The sequence below is a fragment of the Homo sapiens genome, chromosome 10, assembly GCF_000001405.40.
Source record: "Homo sapiens chromosome 10, GRCh38.p14 Primary Assembly".
Lineage (NCBI taxonomy): Eukaryota > Metazoa > Chordata > Mammalia > Primates > Hominidae > Homo > Homo sapiens.
Genome location: NC_000010.11, coordinates 113,372,093 through 113,392,196, shown reverse-complemented (window position 1 = coordinate 113,392,196; position 20,104 = coordinate 113,372,093). Strand labels below are relative to the sequence as shown.

The window sequence follows — 20,104 nt, the reverse complement described above, 5'->3', positions numbered from 1 at the left end:
CCCAACGTTCCAGTGCTTAACTGTCATTATTATTATTATTATAACCATATTAACCATGTCTCTGAGATGCACTTGGATACCAGACCCACATTACAGTTTTTTGATTGGTTCAGATATATTTGTTTTGAGTTCCACAGGGATTTAGAAAAAAAAAAAAAAAGACACCAAATTAAATTTGTGTTTCAGATGAACAATAAATACTTTTTAAGGATGCATATAGCCCAAATATTGCATGGGAGATACTTATCCTAAAAGTTTATTCAATGTTTACATGAAATGCAAATTTTAACTGGGCATCAGTATTTTATCTGGCAACACTTGGTTCAGAAGAAGGATTTCTGTACTTGAGAGCTTTTACTTTTTTACAGTGGAGCCCTCATATAGGACAGGCTGCACCCTCAAAGTGGCTGAGTTACTGACTACAGAATAGACTAACTCTAGAATCGGCAGGGGAAAAGGCCCAGCTTTCTAGGTTCTGTCCCTGAGGGGGCTTGTTAGTAAAATTTTACTTGCAGAAATACAGATAAGGCCAAAATATAAGTATTATTTCCAGGTTGCATCTAGAACTTGAAACTCAATAGTCTATGTGGGCAGTGACTCAAAGTGCAGGGTTCTGGAGTGAGATTGTTCTAGATGCCGCTCTCAAGCTGCCAATGTATGATTTGGGGCAAGCTAACTAACTTCCATAAGCCTTAATTTTTCTCCTGTGTAGAATGGGAATACTAATGTGTTTATACCTAATTGATTGGTCTGAAAATTAAATGAGATCATGTTTACAAAGTTCTTTGCATAGTGCTTGGTGCATTATTACTATTATTAATATATAAGCAATTTTTTCATATTCAGCCAACAAGAAAACAATGTATACCAGGGGGTTTGCTGCTGCTCCACCCAACTACCCTCTGGTCCTTATCTGACCACTTCTGATATAAGCAGACAGCAATGCCTGGGAAGGGGGCAGGAGAGAAGCCTGCTGCAGGAAAAGAGGGTGAGATTCTTTAGAATTCCAAACCGAAGACTGCTTAAATAAGGCGTATCCTGGATGGGTTGGTGGAATTTTATGCAAATAAAAACCAAGTGGCTGGCCTTTGTGAAAAGATGTTATGCACCTGTGTGTGGTCCTGGAGCAAGTCCAAGTAGAAATGAGTGGCCAGAGTCATCACACACACTGGGGTCTTTGATCGGCCCCGACTGCTGGAACTAAAGGCCAATGCAACTCCTGTGCATTACTTCTTCAAATTCCTACAAGTCAAAAACCAGGTTTCACTTCTCAGCAATTGTTTCTACCCTGGGACAATTCAGGATCACCTCTTTTGATGCTACCCAGAGCCACCCCTTCTGGAATAGCAAGACACTAGCCAGACTTTGGTTTTTCAAAAACAAGTCTGAAAAATATTACCTGGGACAGCCCCCCAAAAATGCCAGCCTGCCTGCTCCCTGGTAGTCCTCAAAGAGACACATCAGCCGCCAGTCACTGTCAACTTTCTGCCCAGACTGTGACAAGCCACCATGTGGGGAGGAGAAGGAGGCCATGCAGCTATACCAGGTGTTGGGCACACTGTTCCCACACAGATCCCAAGAGGGGACTGAAAACGGAGCCCAAAGGGGAAAGTGGGCATGAGGGAGTCAGGGGCCCTAGCAGCAGGTGGCTTCAGGTCATTCCTCCAAGTTCATCTTCTGCTCCGAGAATGTTGGATTATTGGGAGCTCTCGAGACATGTTTAAGGGAAGGGGGTGGAGAGTAGGAAGTCCTAGCCCCATCAGTACACAGGCAAATCACCTGACCTTTCTGAGTCCCGGTATCCTCCTGTGAAATAGGGATAACACCTTCTTTGCTCCTCTTACAGTGGCTGAGAGGGTCACAGAAGTTCACAAATGTGAAAGTGCTTGGCAGACTATAAAGCACTGAAGATATTCTGAGTTTTGCTACTATTATGTCTGTTTGTTCACTAGAAGAAAGCATCTATGCAGATATTGAAACAGCCAAAGCGAGGAAGAACTCCATGATCTCCCCTCGCCTCACAGACTTAAGCCAGGAAGGCAGTCCAGGAATCCACAATAAACAACTGCAGCTGGCCTGTTCTGTTTCTCGCACAGTGGACCTGAGTTCTTTTCTAGAATCTGTTCTGCAGCAGGGAAGGTAAAGCTGGTAAGCCGTGGAGGGACCCAGCCAGTGGCTTGTAGGTGGTCAAGCTAAGGAAAGCCGTGGGCTGGTGATGCCCTATGAGTTAGGAGTAGAAAGCCATCCTATTTGCTAAATGCAACTCAGAAACAGGGTAGACCCTCTTCATCTCTGCACCGGCTGTCCACCCAAGTGAGGTGACAACACACTGCAAAGGCAGGGGGCTGGTCCTGTGGTTTCCCATCTGGTCTTGTTTGCCTTTTGGAGTTTGGCTTCTTTGACAGACACATGGAGAACAGCCTTGTCATCTTGAATCAGACAGTCGGCCCCCATGCACGTGAATATGTGTGAGATTTCACGTGTTTGCTAGAGGAAAGAGGCCATGGAGAGGGAGAGAAGGCACATTTACATTCTCTGCCAGTGTTTGGTTTTTTAAAGAAAAAAAAATAGACATTTCACAAGGCATGCTATAAACCAAGGTCAGTTTTCCCCTTGCATAGTGTTGAAACTCGAATAACCCAAAGCAGCAGGTGGGGAGACCCACCTGATTCATTCAAGAGGATTTTCTTTGCTTATTTACTCTGCCTACTAACATCTCACAACAAGTCCTTCCTCACCGTGATTTCGGGGAAGGACGGTATTTGTATGCTATTTTTAAAATCTATTCTGAGTAATACAGTCTATAACCCACATGCCAAGAACCAAAAAATGAAGTGTCTTGAAAGCACTGAGGTGAGTATTTTAAAATATGGTTATTTTTACTTTTCTGTGTTATTTGACTGTTCACAGGAGGCACGAATCGCTTCACAAAGACAATAAAATAATTGTAAAAAAAGAAAGCAGTCATCATAAAGACTGCCATGGACACAAAGCTACATCACTAATGACCATGCAGCTGGAGACGGGAATGAGAAAGAGACCGGGAGTGGACGGTGTGGTTAGAAGGACAGCCATTACTCTCACACCTGTAATCCCAGCACTTTGGGAGGCCGAGGTGGGTGGATCACGAGGTCAGGAGATTGAGACCATCCTGGCTAACACGGTGAAACCCCGTCTCTACTAAAAATATTTTAAAAAGTTAGTCAGGTGTGGTGGCGGGCCCCTGTAGTCCCAGCTACTCGGGAGGCTGAGGCAGGAGAATGGTGTGAACCCAGGAGGAGGAGCTTGCAGTGAGCCGAAATCGTGCCACTGCACTCCAGCCTGGGTGACAGAGCAAGACTCTGTCTCAAAAAAAAAAAAAAAAAAAGAAGGACAGCCATTACTCTCCAGCCACCCCTTTTTTGACATGGGAGATTCCTGTCGTTTAGAATTGTTCTACTCAAGGGTTCCTACCAATCTTAGCCATCTTGAGAAGTGCCACTGTGAAATTAGCTAAGAGGCATTCTTTCTTTCTTTTCTATTTATTTATTTATTTATTTATTTATTTATTTATTTTTTGGAGACAGAGTCTTGCTGTCATCCAGGCTGGAGTCCAGTGGCATAATCTCGGCTCACTGCAACCTCTGCCTCCCGGGTTCAAGCATCCAAGCAATTCTCATGCCTCAGCCTCCCAAGAAGCTGGGATTACAGGCATGTGCCACCATGCCTGACTAATTTTTGTATTTTTAGTAGAGACGGGCTCTCACCATGTTGGCCAGGCTGGTCTTGAACTCCCGGCCACCTAAGAGGCATTCATAAAAATGGAACAGTGTGCTGGAGTTGACCAAAAACTTCCATTTAGTAGCTCCAATTACCCTGTGGGATGGCAATTATCATCCTCATTTATAAGGGTTGAGACTGACATTCTGAGAAATGAGAATATTTTAGCTCCTATAGCTAAGAGGGAATACAGCTAGGTCTTCTGATTCCATATCCCATCCCGCAGTCTTAAACTTAGGCAGGTGCCAAAACTGCTTTGTAGTTAAGCCTGCAGGCTCTCATGCCAGTTGGCCTGGGTGGAAGTCCTAGCTCCGACCCTCACTTGTTTTGCTGACCGTGAGTAAGATACTTCAATTCTCTGACTCTCAGTTCCCTCATCTGTAAACTGGGAATGACAATAGCAGGGCCCAGTTCACAAGGTTGTCAGGGAACTTGAATAAAATGATACATATAGAGAGAGCACTTAGCCCGATGAAGGGCCCTCACCAACATCAGCTCTCATCACTAACTCTTCCCCTTTCACCCTATCCTGCTCATCATAAAGAAGACCAACATCTGTGCTCCAGGGTTTGTGTGTGTGTGTGTGTGTGTGTGTGTGTGTGTGTGTGTGTGTGTGTGTGTAATTAAAGCGATCCCTAAACTTGAGAATTATTGAGCATAAATGCATTCAAACTATTCATATTTTCCATACTATTAAGATTTCCTGGCATATCAATCTTCTTTGTGGCAGAAATCAATAGTCACTGTACTTACTGAAAAAGGTCTCTCCAGACCAAAACCCCTGTGTCCCAGGGCTGGGAAATTGGCTCCTAGGAAATAAACTCTGGCCTGCAAACTTTTCCAGACTTTCCCCAAATCCCCAGTTGAGTAAAATAATGAGTCAGGCCCTCTAGGACATTGTCATACACCTTTTGGGGCAGAATAAAACACTTTAAAATAATTCCACAACTGAGGAAAAGGTATAAAGAAAACATCTGGGAGGGAGGAAGGGAAGTAATGGTTATCCCCAAAAGGGTAGGATGTCTGTAGGGGCAAGGATGGTGACTTTTAGTGCTTATACATTTCAGTAATGTTTGAATTTCTTACTACAGCTATGTATTATTTTACAATGAGAAATTTTAAACTGACCCCATTCCTAGGCTGGTGGGGATGGGGTGAGGAGGGTAACCAGTAGAAACTGCCCCCAGACCTTTCTTAACAGAGAAACTCTTAACTTTTCCTACAGGAAGCCCTTCCGGGTGCAATTCCTTATCTCAACCTCTGCAACAGTGCCTACCAATGTTATAGCACTTCATTCATTCAGCCTTTCATTTGTTCATCCACTCAACAGCTATACTTTGAACAAGGCCCTGTGGGAGGCCCTGCGAGGCAAAGACAAGACAAGCGAGTTGCCTGTCACACGGAGCATGGGCTGGCAAGGAGATCCATAGTAAACCTCCAGTCCTGCACTCACCCTTAATGGCATGTGCTTGGATAGAGATGAGACAAGGCCCAGAGGGGCACATGCTGGAGAAACTGAACCCCAGCCCAGAGGTCTGGGAAGGCGTCTCTGGGCAAGAGACCTTACAGCTGGGAACTGAAAGATGAGAAGCAGCACTGACCAGGTGAAAGGGGTGGCAAGACCAGGAGTGTCTGGGCTGAGCACCCAGGCAGGCACTGAGATGAGAAGAAACAGAGCTCACCAAGGAAAATTGAGGGAACTCAGCCTGCTGGAGAAAGGTCCAAGGAGAGATCAAAGAAGCAGGAAGGGCCAGATCACCTGATGCTTTGCAGAATGTGGGATTTTAAACTTTACCCTAAGAACAGTTCGAAGCCACTGAGATAGGTATCCCTGAGGACTCCATTTGTTCTCCACTGTTTTTGTTCACTTCCACTCTGACACACAAGCTCCTAGCTCCATGCCTGGCAATTAACAAGAGCCTAAAAATAATCAGCTGGATGGCTGAACCCAGTCACCCCAGGGAGGGAGAACCTGCAAGCAAAGACCATGACCGCACATCCGACATCTCACCTCTCTCCCTCCTTTTGTCTCCCCTGATCCAGGCCTGCAAGCTGAGAAGTGTACAATCCTCACAACAAGGAGTGATTGGCAATCAGGTGCAGAACTAAGCTATTTCTTTCACCACCACAGTCCTTCCAAAATGTTCCCAACTGGCATCAGATATTCTCATCCTGACCAGTGAGACAACCCAATGAAAACTGGTGACTCAGAAAGGGTAAGCATTTGTCAAAGGCTGTACAGCAAATCCCCGGGTGCTTGGCGAGTCATGTCTTGGCCAGTTGTCAAGGGCAGTGTCCCCTATGTCATTCCTCAAATACATATTTCTAGGCTTAATTATATGAATTTACATTTCTTTGGCTCAAAAAAAGTAGGTATAGGGGCATTTTCAATGCTGCACACAACTGAAAGTAGATTGAAACCATCCCGACCTCAAACAGAATGTCAAAGCAGTTGGGTTTCTGAGCAGCAACAGAATACTTTTTATAGAATGGGAAGTCAATTGAGAAATCATAAAAAATTAGAGTTGGGAAGGACCTCTGCGCTCACGAGGGTCAGGTCCCAGGGGCTGCTGTAGAATTGTTCCCTGTGGTGAAGGGTCTAATGTTTTGTCCACTCAAGTTTTAAATATCTCAACCAATAGCTCACCCCTGGGGACACCTCTCCACAGGGCAATAGATCTTGCTGTCAGGGCTTTTTTCCTGCTATTCAATCTCACTTTTCCTTTCCTCCACTTCATCCCATTTGTCTTTGGCAGTAATTTAGACAAGAGTGTGCTGACGTTTGAAAACGAAAAGCCCTGTCTTTGCCTTCAACCTCGTTTTTCCAGACCCTTCTACCTACGGAAACTTCAAGATCTGGCAGGGAGAGAGGGAGGGAATGAGGAAGAGAGGCAAACAAACAGACTGGCGTGGGTTCTGGAAGAAGCTATCAAAGGGCCAGCCCCCAAGGCCTTGAACCCACAGGTGTACAGGAAGAGAGGGCACTGCTGCTCCGGAATGTGCAGATTATAGAGGACCTGACTCTCAAAGGCAGAAAGTCACCGAGTTTTCTAGGCAGTCCAGAGCTCAGCCACCTCTTGCTATGACACATTAGACAGAAGGTGGCAGCATAGCACCAGGCTCTGTGTGCTCAGTGGCCCTGTCCATCGCAGCACACCCCAACTGTTCGGCTTCCAAACTCCACGAGCAACAAAACCCAACCGGCTGGAACGCCGGGCTTAGGCCAAGAGTGAGCTGCAAATCAAGGCCCTGGCCAGTTTTTTAAGTCAAATCCCAAACAGTTAGGATTGTGTGAGCACAGTCCATTTTCTCCCCAAGAACATCTTGCAGCCAGAATGGAATCCAAAAAAATAACTGCAGTCCTGAACAGCGGTGTTTGTCCAAGCTGATCTAAACACATAAACTTACCGTCTCGTCTGGTGTTTTGTGCACAAATTTTTGTGTTTAAAGACATCTGGGGTTAATGCTTTTTTTTTTTCTTTATTCTTTCTAGCCCTTGGCTATTTATTTCTGAATTTGTCTCTGGTTTTCCTGTTTCCCTTTGCTTATTTTTTACTTATTTGGTAGTGTTTGCATGTGGTTCTTCTGAAAGCAAGGATCCACAGGCTACGCATTTCTCACTTGGAGCTGAAGTCCTGCTGGGGAACCAATTATATGTCCTACCCACCAGGGAGAGTGTGATATTTTTTATTACTTTCTAATTTCAGGTCTTGAAATGGCTTCAGTGATCAGAACATTCTTCTGCTTAAGAACCTAAAGGGGCCAGTGAAAGGATGCTTTTGATTTGTATTTCATTTAGAATGGTCCATACTCAACCAAGTGTACTCCAAGGATTTCCATGGGGCCTCAGAGGCTTGAAGTGGGGAAAAGCAAGACAAAGACAACAACAAAACTTTCTCGCTGCTTGCCTTATCATACTGGGAAAATGCCGGCTACTTGGGGAAAGTCTTTCTTTGAGAAGTTGGTGAACTGAGAAAAAAATGGATAGAATTAGAACAAAACAATTTCACTGGATTCTAAGTCTATTTAAACTACAGTAGTAAATCAAAACCATACCTCTTTCTCATTACTCATGGCCCGATAGTAGAGCCTCCTAAATGCTTATTAAAGCAAAAGCAAGAAGTGTTTCATTTCTAAATACATTCACAGGAATCCCCAACAAGGTGGTTGCTTCTTTCTAACTGTTGTTTGTTTTATGCTTGTTTCTCTTCTTGAAAGAGTTATCATGAAACGGAAAGGCTTAAAAGGGGGGTGGGGGTGGGGGTGAGGGTCCAAATAGGCTCTAATGAGGAAGAAGGAAATAAAAGTCAAATTCTCCCCGAATGTCTGAATTTCTATTTATTTATCTTTGCAATAAGAGAGGATGCCTGACAATCCGGAACTGCTCTTGGATAAAACGAATCATACCAAACAGCTAACAACCCTGCAGAATAGCTCAAAGCCCAAATTATGAGCTATTTCAAATCCTTTCCACTTGCCATGGGGGTCTTGACTGAGTTTTTTCTTTTTTTTTTTTTTTTTTTTCTTTTTTTCCTGGCTCACATGCTTAGCCAGGAGGTGATTCTGAATGTTTATCTGAAGTATCTCCCTGATATTCTGGGGGGACTTTTCTCTCAAGCAAAAGCTCTGCTGAAAAGAGGAGCTTGTTTTAATTCTCATTAAGTTATACCCAGTATTGTGAACCTTTTACTAGTGAACAGTTAATTTTAGTGAGACGGACTACAAGAAACTGCCATATATAACCACGCTCAGTGACAACATTTTACAAAATGTGAGTCAAACATAAACATTTATGACTTTCTAATAAGCCAGCTACCATATTTGCTATTATATGACGCTCTGTTAAAACAATCTTTTCTACTTTTAAATAGAGATCCCATGAGAGCAAAAATGTTTATCTTTGTTGTGTATAGCTTCCTTAAGTACCATTTTATCATATTATTTAAAATTCAACAAATTAGCAGCCAGTATTTATTATTTAAAGAAAGGGTGTTTCTTCAAAGTTTGTCTGAATTAAAAATCACAAACCAATCCATCTCCCTTCTTTCCTTCCTTCTCTCTTTCCTTCCGTCCTTCCTTCTATTCATTTTAAACCCAGCAACTAGATTTTGTTGGGTTTAAAAGGTCCCTAAAAAGTTAGTATTCCTTCAGGAATAAATATTTGTAGATTACTTGAAATGGCCAGCTTCCTTGACTGGTCTTTAGGGAAAATACTCTTTGTAACTTTGACTAAAAAGACAATGTTCCCGATCAAAATATAATCTGGGTCTATACTGGCAAAGAGAGTTGAACCAATATGTAATGAATGGCAGCATAAACAAATGAATGAAGGAATACGCAGACAGGCATCAAGCAGAATCAAAATACTCAAAGCAGCCAGTTAACTGAGGCACTGAATTTCCTGGACAACTGTCTCAATTCCCCGGTTTGCGTGGAGGCTCTTGCCTATAACCAAGTAAGCACTTATGCTGCAACCTCTTGCCTCTTGCAAGAGACAACAGATTGTTAGCCTCTGGGAAGTAGCACTATTTCAATCAACCAATTTGGCATGTTGTGTTTTACAGTTTCTAAAATTAACACAGAATCCAAACAAAAACATGGCTGGTGTGGAACTATATACAGAGAACACTGTCATCTGGTTGCTTCGAATCTGTTCATTATCAAAATTAGCTGTCTTGTTTGTCCTACTCCCATTTTTGAATGCACACCATTAATTAACCAACCTGTCATTATGTGCTGGTAATGACCAAGTTTTCCAGTATCCCAGTGTAAATACAGGATTTTACAGGACTCCCAAAACTAGGAGGAAAGGAGAAGGTGGAGGAGGTAGGGGTGGCAGAGAAAGAGGACATTCACAGGTGGGACTCAGTATTGCTTACAGCTACCCTTGCTTTCTAAAACAAGGGCTGCACGCGGAAACAATGCTGATTTATTCCCTTGCATTGAGCAAAGCTAAATTTTTCCAGGCTTCACTGAGGAATTTTCTTCACAATATCTGCATGAATTATGAAGCTGACTTCTAACCAGATGTCGGGTGATCTGCCCTTCCTGTTCTCTGAGGATGAGACACATCAGTGTTTAACTCATCATGCCCCTCGAGTGTGTCTCATTTTTCAACCCATTCTCACTTGGAGGTTAAAAAGGAATTGGGGTTTCTTTTTAAGTCTCTTTGATTTTACCCAATTTCGGTGAACAGATCCATGAAACTTCAAAGAGGATGTTGACAGAATTGAAGTAAGGGAGGGAAGGACAGAGGAAGGGGGCAGAAAGCAAAGCCGATCATAAAAAACAAACCAAAGAATATTTAACGACATATTTTCCCAAAGAGACTTCTGGCTGCCCACCGAAACTGAAACCATTACTCACATCGAAGACACTTCCTGGGGGTGTGCTATCTTGAGGAAACACATACCGTGAAGGCCTTTGCAGGAAGCAAATTCAATGGTGAAAGGAACCGCAGCAGATTCTTACAATTCTGTCTTTTGCACCCTGACTTTCCACTTGAACATTCTTATTAAAAATTTCCTCCAGCATCCTTACCATATACAATTTTTCAAGTCAAAGAATGACTTTTTAGAGTCTCTGTGTGCCCATAAAATTCTGTCTTGAAGATTTTATTAATAATCATAAAAACATCAGTATCCATCAGGATCAGTTTGGAAAGGGAGAGGCAATTTTTCCTAAACATGTGTTCAAATGGTCTGAGACAGACGTTAAAATGAAAAGGGGGTGAACTGAAGACCAATGACTGATCCAGCCCCCCACTCCCCTACGGTTCATAGTCATGGGCGAGGACATGGCCACAGGCTAACACAAGCCAGCTTGGGATCAGGCACCAGCCCCACCTGCAGCTGATGCAGCTCCACGTGGAGGGAAGCATTCCAACTTTCACTGCTGCAGGTTGTGTATTTATCACTACGAGGAGGGGAGGGACAAAGTATACAGGACTACATATTTTCTTATGGCATCAGGATAGGTTTCTTGGGACTCTGAGAGGTCTAGAATAACGTGCTTAAAATGACTATTTGACTATCTCCCAGCCAGTTCGAAGCATTGGCTGAGCAGCCTTTGCTTGATTGTCAGTTAACAGCAACCGAAATAGCAAAATAGTAAAGTGATCCCTGCAAAGGGATTTGTGGGTGGTCTCCTTGGCTCACCTGTCAGAGGAGGTTGACTCTGTGATCATGATCCTTCCCCCAAGTGCTCTCACCTTTTCTGTTCACATTGTACCTTAAGGCCTGCAGTCAGGCAAATCTTTGAACAGAGAAATTCAAACCCCTTAATGACCAAAGATTTCGAGGGATCCCAAGACATGGGGTGTATTTCACAATGCAACCACCCCAGTGAATAGGAGAGTTATTGACCAGGCAATGCATTATCTCATAATCCGCCAGTATGGAGGCAGCGTGGGTGGCTTCAGGGCATGAGCACTGGAGTCAGAGAAGTTGAACTCCATCAGCTCTGTTACTTCCAGTTACTCAACCTCTCTGTGCCTCAGTTTCTTCATATGCTAAAACTAGGATGATACTGTCTACATACTTCAATGGGCTGTTAAGCTTTCAGGAATCTATACTTGGAAAGCACCAGACACAGCACCTGGTATCTAGTGGGATATGCTATTGTCTCCATAATCAACTAGAAATTTCCTTGTGATTACTCGCTGCAACAAAAAGGGTTCTCCAAACTGGCTGAGAACACCACAAACTAGGGAACTTTAAGAAATACATTCCCAGGTACTTCCAGCAGTGAGACCCAGAAATCTTCCCCAGGTGAAACTAATGTAGCCAGCTTGACCTAGAACCATAGACCCATACACTGTCCCATTACTATAAAGGATGGTGAAGCATCACATCCAGTCCTGGTCTCCAAGGAATTTATGGTCTGATTGTGAAGACCAACACACAAACTGTAAGTATAAACTATTCATGAGCAACATGAGATAGAATAAAGTTGGAGACTATCTTGTGTGGCATTGTCAGTTTGCTGTGAAGAATTTCAGAGAAAGGAGAATCCCATTAATTGGAATACACCAGAAAGTCCCAAGAGTATTGTGAATTCTGTGGTGATCTTTCATAGTAGAGGTTCACAAAAGTTGATTTCTCAACTTTGTGTACATATGCACATCTATTTTAGGGGGAGAGGTTCAGCTTTGATTACCTTCTCAAAGTGGTCCATGACCTCCAAAAGCTTAACACTGTGATTCTAATGGTGGACACTAATAAGTACTCGTCACATGCCAGGCCTGTTTCAAACACTTTACTTACATAATCTCAAGAAGTGCTCACACCACCCATGTGGGGTAGGTACCATTATCTTCTTCATCTTACAAATGAAGAGACGTCGGACCTTGCCCATGGATACCCAGCTACTGAGTGAAAGAAAAGATTTGCCCCCCTGGCTCCAGGGCTTATGCTCTTACCAACTCAATTTAATCCAACATGCTTCATTTTGACACTTGCTCCACTTCTAGAACCATCTGAATCTTATGGCTCTGTCTCAGAAGATCTAGGAAGCACCTGGTAAGGACCAAGAGCTACTCTTACCCCTTGAGAACCAACGCTCTCTGAGCAAACAAAGCCAGACTGGGTACCCTGGCATCCTTCATATGGAATTCATTCATTCAGCTATTCATTCATCCATTCATCTGTATACAGAGGGACTTGGGGCTTGGGATGAGAGGCGGAGGAAAAGTGGATGGCAGAGCAGAAGGATTGTTTTCAATAACTCAGCCTCAAGGAAGAGGGAAAAACTCAGGACTTTGAGACTACCTTCTCATCTCATGAGGGATGTCGGGAGGTAGAAAAGCCCTGGTGTGCCACCGTTGCTCTTGACTCAGTTCAAGCCAATTGTCTTTGACTCACTTTAGGCCAGGAGTTCTCAATCTTGCCACTATTCACATTGAGGACCTGATAAGTTTGTTGTTGGGGGGCTTCCCTGTGCATTATAGGATGTTTAGCAACATCCCTGGCTTCCACCCATTAGATACCAAAGGCATTCCTTCTCCTAGTTGTGATGAATAAAAATGCCTCCAGACACTGCCAAATGTTTCCTGGGAGACAAAAATTACCCTCCTTTGAGAACCACTGGCTTAAGGTAAATAAAATAGATTCTTAAAAGTTACACAATATTTCTCCCAGCAAAAGTCTCCATGTCATCCTGTGGTGTCCCTTAAGTCATGATCAAAGGGGAAGTAAGCAAATATATTCATTTGATAAACACTTGCTATATAAGTTTGATTGTAAGGCAAAGTTTTTCCCCAAAAGCTGTTCTATAGTATATAAGTTTTTACAAAGTTTCTCGCTCCTGATGCTTTCTCAATTACTTTATTCTGAGCACCAAGGAAGTGTTTGGGGAACGACATTAGTCCAGAGAGATCTCAATGGATGATAGTTGTTGGGGGAAATAAGTTGGGGAAACTTACAGACATCATCTGATAATATCAGGGGGGAAAAAAGAGGCAAAATATTTCATGCAGATTCGGTTGTTATTTCTGAGGATATGACTTCATCATTAAATACATGGGAAGTATTTTAAGCAAGTCTTTTAAACTTTGCCTTTCTTAAAAAAGCATATTATAAATGGTGACCTTGTGGAGTTCATAAATATCCACCCATAGGACAAACAGAAAAAATCTCTTGGGGCCACAAATAAAATTCTCAGTGACAGCATCTTACATCATTCAAAGTGCTGTGTCTTGAACAATTTAGAAGTGAAGATGATGTGGGATGGAGAACTGAGTTATGATTCAAAAATGGTTTCGGTGACAACGAAGGCAAATGACCAAGGTGCCCGGGAAGAGTGTGAATATAATTATTTCATGACCTAAACTTTTTTTTAAGATTAGGGAATCTCTATTTCTAAATGTTTATATTATTTTATATAATATGTGCTATATGCAAATAAATCGATGCATTTAGTATTAAAGTAGGGATTTTACTATTTTATAAAAGCTTATATATTCCAGTTGGCTTTCTCTTTGGAAAACGAGACATTGCCTTATATTCAGGCTTGTCTTACACTTGGGCACATAGCCAATCTAAGCACCTAGTGTTGTCAGGATTCTGTACAAGTCACACGGAGCCATGTTTCTGTCCCCTGGAGAGTTTGTGTTCTCTGTGGGAACACAAGACATAAGCAAGGGAGGCAGCTTTCACATAATTCAGTGTAATTTGCTTCCAACTAAGTTATTCGGATGATATGCTATGCGGAGGAGATGGGACGTCCTTTGAGGGATGCCTTCAGATGATCTTCTTGAAGCTCAATTCAGATGTGTCACTTCCTACTGCAAGGGTAAAGACCAACCTCCCTAACATGGGTTCCAGGACCCACATGATTTGTGCATCTCCTCCCCGCCACCCCCAACCCTAGCTTCAACTCTTGCTCTGTTGATCTCTGGCCTTGACTACTCCTTGGACACCCCTCCTCCATCCCCAGCTTTGATTCTCCTTTGCTCCCTCCCCATCTCTTGACCGCACCTTCCTTTGGCACCTCCTCTTCTCTCTGTCTGTCTTTGCAACTGGTACTCTCCTGTCCTCTGCTCTTAGAAACTCGCACTCCTTCTTCAGACTTCATCTCAATCCTCACTTCTCCTGGGAAGCCTTCTCTAGACCCTCCATTTTGGTCAGCTGTCACTAAACTGTAGTTCTTTTCTTTGAAGTATTTCTCTCCATTAATTCTCATGGATGCAATAGTGCCATTGTTCACTGATGTATGTCTCTCCGTTCATGCTGTAAGCTTAGTGAGAGCAGAGCCCTCATCCTTTATGACTCATCATTACATCCCCAGAACATGGCCCAAAGTAGATACTCAATAAGTAGCAATTGAGTGAATTGTTGATTAATCAAATGAACATTTGTTACAACCTTTAGCTTTAGGCTTACTCTTACTGACATTGTTGTAGAACAAAGCTATGATCCAATGGCATTACTATAAGTCAAGCCCTATATGTGTATAATCTCATTTAATCCTCACAAAATCCTGTGATGTAGGTTCTACTGTTATTATTATCCTATTTCGTATGAAGATACTGGGGCTCAGAAGAGCAGTAACTTGGTCAAGGTCATAGGCATAGCTAATGTGCAGAGAAGCTGCAATTGGATCCCTGGTATTTCTGACTCCAGACCACTACCCCATCTTATTGTATCATAGCATATCATATTAATTATCTCACTTATTATACTCACTTGGAATTTACCCAGATGATTTTGTATGAGATCTAACACCTCTAAGAAGTTCTTGACCATGCTCCTCGTCTCCACTCTCTCACATCACTTTAAACTGGCTTCCCAACATAGGTAATTGATGTCTTGGTTTGTGGAGTTAGTCTCACTATTTATAAACACAGCTGATATGTCCTTATTATATTGCTTCTTTATTGAGACTGGAATAGGGGGCCTCCAGAGGCAGGAAATGCATCTTATATTTCTATGTGATTCATGACATCTGGCACATAGTGGGGACTCATGTAACACTCCTGTATGGGTTGATAAAGGTCTCCTAAATCATCACGACGATTTACTTAGAAGCAACAACTCAAAGTTTAGAATTGAAGCATAAACCAAGGCTAGATCTTGTATACCTTTGATGCTATTTCCTTCTCCAGAATTTAATCATCATCTTGTCTCTAATGGTAACAGAATATTTATCTTAAAAATCATGTGCACTTCATTCAGCTCATCAGCAAATACAAATATTGGTTGACACTGGTCTTTATGGTCCTCCTGCTTGTCCTCTGTCCCGGGTATCTAAGTAGCTTGTTTAACTCACTCAGACCACTGGGTGACTCTGTAGGGAGCCACTTCTTCATTAACACCATTAAAAGCACCCAGTCACCACAACACATGAGCCTTTCAATCTGGCTGTCAGATGCCTCCCCAAGACTTAAGGGAAGCCCAGCAACAAGGCATTAGTGGCACTATAGAGATTTTATATGAGATCAAAATAGCAGCAGAACTTTTAAATTGTGAAACAATGGATCAAGAGAAGAAGAATCAAATAAGAAATGGTAAATATTCAATAAAGAGAATGATTAGAGTTCTCAGGCAGGGAATACCCACAGCTATCTTTATACCAACTTAAATCAGGCAGAAGCTCTAACGACAAGGATAAAATGAAATAATGGATGCATTATTTCTAGTGGGACTTGCATTGCTATTTGGCCTAATTATTTGTGATATTTCACCCATGGTAGGAGAAGCTTCTTCAGAGGAAAGAAATAATAACTTGTCTCCTTGAAAACAAAGAACAAAGGGTCCCGATGCTCTCCAGAAGCTCTTCTGTCATTAGCAGGAGAAAGAATCTGTCCATTAGCAGGAAATACCACCCCCTCAGAAATCCTGAATATCTCCCCTTGAATATCTCAATGACCTTCAAATACCCACAAGGAGGAAGATGCAAAAGCCATAGGCCTTATTGCAAAGGTAAGACAGAAGATGTAGCTTAGGGGCCATGCAGGTGAAAGAAATGTTCCCTCCATCCTTGCTGTATGGTGTCTGGTGTGTTTGTATGTGTATATGCACACATGCACACGTGCATGTGTGTACTATAGCCATGCACTATAGCCATAAAATGGTAAAGGAGAGAGTATCCCCAGGTTTGCTTCTCCATATGTCCCCTAGTATAAAGGATTTGTTTGGCTGAGAATAATAGAAAACCCAAAATAACAATGGCATAAACAAGACAGACATTTATTTTTCGGTCACAGGGAAGTCTGCTTGAGCAGTTTAGGGCTGAAATAGTGGCCCACAATCCACAGGATCTCAGACTCTGTCAGTACTTTTGCTCTGCCATGCCCCACTCAAGGCTTCCATTGCATGGTTCAGGATGGCTGCTTCCTCTCTCTATACTGTGTTCACATTCTAGCAAAGGGAGGGAGGCGGTATGATCCCTCTCATAAGGACCCCTCTCTAGAAGTAGTACCTACCACTTATGTGTGAATCCATTAGCCAGGGCTAAGGCACAGGGCCTTACCTAACTGCAAGGAGAGCTAGGAAATACAGTCATCATTTTGGGAGACCATGTATTTAGCTAAAAGTCAAAGGGTTCTATTGCTATCAAAGAAGGGAAAAGAGATACCAGGGAACAACTAGCAGTCTCTGCAACATTCTTCAAGGTATCATAGCTTTGGGGATTTCTTCTCAGGTCACACCAATCCCTTCTAGCCACCAGAGCCAATCTACACTGCTGAGCCATCCTGACTGCAGTGAATTGGATCAAGAGTTTACAGAAACTCAAGCTGAATCAATTATATTTTCACTCCCAGGAATTTGGAATTAGGATGTATTGACTATCATTAGGCTCTCAAACTAGAATCATCCTGGATGCAATGGAGTGACCAACTTCTGCCAAATTTGTCGCAGAACCCCAGAGAGAAGCAAGGGCAAGAGACATGCCAGCCTGGGCCAGGGGAAGGTGGAGAGAGGGGCCACCCTAGTACCTGATGTCTTTCTGGTTCTGGGGGCTCAGCAGCACTTCCTTCCCTTGGGTTGCATAAGAAACCCCCAAGTCCTTAGAAAAGGCCTCCATTTTTGGCTTAAGTTAGTTTGAATGGGTTTCTCTTCCTTTCCACCAGCAGAACCTTGATGATGACATGTCTCTGTGTGGCTCTGGTTCTGGCCAGGTGATAGCAGTCAAGTCAGTGGTCTTCTCATCCTACCTTCTTGGCCGGGAAAAAAAAGTACATCTCTCTCCCACTGGACTGTCAGCTCTTAGGCTAGTAAATCCACCAAGTTGATTCACTTTAAGAGTTTACACTCTTCTCCTTCCTTTGCAACACATTTTCACTAGGTCTTGGGCTACCTGGAGACACCACATAGTACCATGAAGTACCACAAAGGAAGGACTGTTGTTGGAAATATTGGAGCACAAGTCAGGAGTTGGGAGAGATATTTGGGGGCTGGTGGGCCATCCAGTGGCCCTTTGGTAGAGAGCCACATCTGGAACCCCCAATATTCTCACCAGTGTGGTGATAAACAAATCTTGTCCTTATGATCACAAGTCCTACAGAAATAATTCCATCTGAGTGTGCAGGGTTAGGCCTGAGTGCTGGATGTTACAGCTATAACCGGTGGATTCTCCTTTGCATCTGTCAAACATTTAACACCTGGAGAAGCAACCAGATGAATCCTCCTGACTAACAACTTGTCTGTCTAAACCAGGCTCCCAAGTAAAATAATCTAGCTTGAACTCTCTGGGCCTCAGTGTTCTCCTTTGTAAAATGAAGGGGTGGTACTAGAATCCCTTTCCAATGGGGAGGTTGCATGAATCTCTACACACAGAGAGGGTAGGATCACCCACTGATTTCTTTTTTAGAGAGAGATGAGATCTCACTATGTTGGCCAGGTTGGTCTTGAACTCCTGGCCTCAAGCAATTGTCCCACCTCAGCTTCCCCAAGTGCTGGGATTACAGGGATGAGCCACCATGCCCTGCCCTCACTCAGTGGTTTCTGAAGACAGAAGGAGAGAGTTCAAATGTAAGTTCTGCCACTTACTAGCTGTCCATACCTGGGAAATATACCTCTAACCCTAAATATCAATTTCTAATCTGTAAATGAAGAACAGTGACAGCGCCCACCTGGTAGGGGCCTCCCAGGGCTTAAATGATCATATTAAATGCTCAGCACAATGTGCCCAACACACAGTAGGTGTGCAATGAGTGTTAGAGTCTTTCAGATCTCCCTGAAATGGATCCGTCTTGCAGATTATCACAGCCACCCGCAACACCCTATGACACACATACAGAATGACTTGATGTCCTTGATAAATGTTGCTTTTATTAATTAACTCTGTGTGAGGGAAAACTGAAGCAAAGGGATGGAGGGTGTAGGAGTAAAACCTCCAGAGCTGTGAAAAATTCCTGAGTTATTATCCAAATAATCTGGTGGCTTGGCAAAAAGAAAAGGAGAAAAAAATCCCTTACCAAGCACATATTCTGCTGGTTTTCAAACGCGAGTGTGTATTTCAATGGCAATTTAATCCATGTGTTTCTTAGTCTTCTGTACTTAAACTATCAAAGTATTGTTTGAAAATAATAATTTGATGTCCAATAAACAGTCTTTCCTTTTGAGTTTCCCATGCAACCACCTGTGTGATTGTTCCCTGAAAGGTGAGTAGCCCAGTTGAGTCTCAAGGTGCCTACCTACCCATACCTGAGCAGCTGTCCTTATGACCCTCTCCTCTTGGTTAAGATGGACCGGTGTGGTCATTTGACCTGGGGTGACCATCCATGGCCCCCTCTGAGCATGACTTAAAGAGATGTGCTTAGCCAATCTTTCTGTTGGGGATATGAACAAAGTGAGACAGAATGAAACTGCTAGTGAGCTATGGGTGCTAGAGTTGCATGGTTATGTCAATACCAGGCTAGGGGCATAATGGTCTATTTTAGTGTATTCCCACGGAAGTAGAACCTTGAGTCTATTTGGGAGGTGGTCCCAGAAAATACTGATTAGGAAATGGGAAAGTGGGACAGGACAGGGTAGGAGCCAATGAAACACATTTTCACTGTGGGGTAGCCTTGCTGGGGAACTCTGAGAGTCAAAGCAGAACATGTGCTTCAGAGTTATCTTGGCCAAGGGGTGAGGGAGTTGGGGTATTTATCCTTTAACTGCTATCAGTTGTTGGTCGAGAACTGCTTGAAGGGGTGTTAGTTCCCTAGCACTACTGGCCTGCCCTGTAAGAAAGCCCTCAGCAAAGAGTCACAAGTATTGGCAGTTAAGCCATGAACTATTGTGCCCAGAAGTGATGAGTGTTGACGGCATTTGTGCAAGGCACTGACAGCACCTCTACATGGGCTTGCATGAAACAGAATCTCCAATAGAGAGAGAGATAATAGAACAGAACATCAGTAATGGCACAGAAAAGAATGGGAAGCAGGAGTGGAGAGAGAGAGAGGAGGCCCTTCATTCCTTTCCTACTTCAAACCTAATAGTTCAACTTTTTCTAGATTCCCATGAAGACTCTGTATCTTTACACCCCCTCCACCCCACCCCCATTTCCTTGAGCCAGTTAGAATGGATTTCTGTTTCTTGTTCAAGAAAGAAAGAATTTTCCTATCCTTGCATTACCAGCAATCACAGAGATTCAGAATCTCAGAGAAGATACCCTAACTTCTTCATCCCATCACATTAGTAGCCGTTTTGGTTGCAAGCAACAGAAACGAACACTGATGAACTTAGCAACAAAAAAAATGAATCTACTGGAAGGATTTGAGGTACACAGTGGGGGAGAGGAAAGCCACAGAACCCAGCTAGGGATGGATAGGAACCAGATATAAGGTCTCTGTGGCAGGAACCCCTTGATCTTCTCATCTGGGCATTGCTACTGTAAAGAAGGAGCACCAACCATTTGT

The 20,104-nt window shown here is 43.1% G+C and overlaps 2 annotated features.

Moving 5' to 3' along the window:
• Window positions 6,778-6,887: a silencer, noted in NCBI's record as "silent region_2837". NCBI's record gives its function as "represses an Ori minimal core promoter by ATAC-STARR-seq in GM12878 lymphoblastoid cells {active_cell/tissue: GM12878}" and the evidence as "EXISTENCE:reporter gene assay evidence [ECO:0000049][PMID:35858748]".
• Window positions 9,545-10,744: an enhancer, noted in NCBI's record as "P300/CBP strongly-dependent group 1 enhancer chr10:115141212-115142411 (GRCh37/hg19 assembly coordinates)". NCBI's record gives its function as "activates an origin of replication core promoter dependent on BRD2, BRD4, P300/CBP, MED14 and CDK7 cofactors, with strong dependence on P300/CBP, by STARR-seq in HCT116 cells {active_cell/tissue: HCT116}" and the evidence as "EXISTENCE:reporter gene assay evidence [ECO:0000049][PMID:35650434]".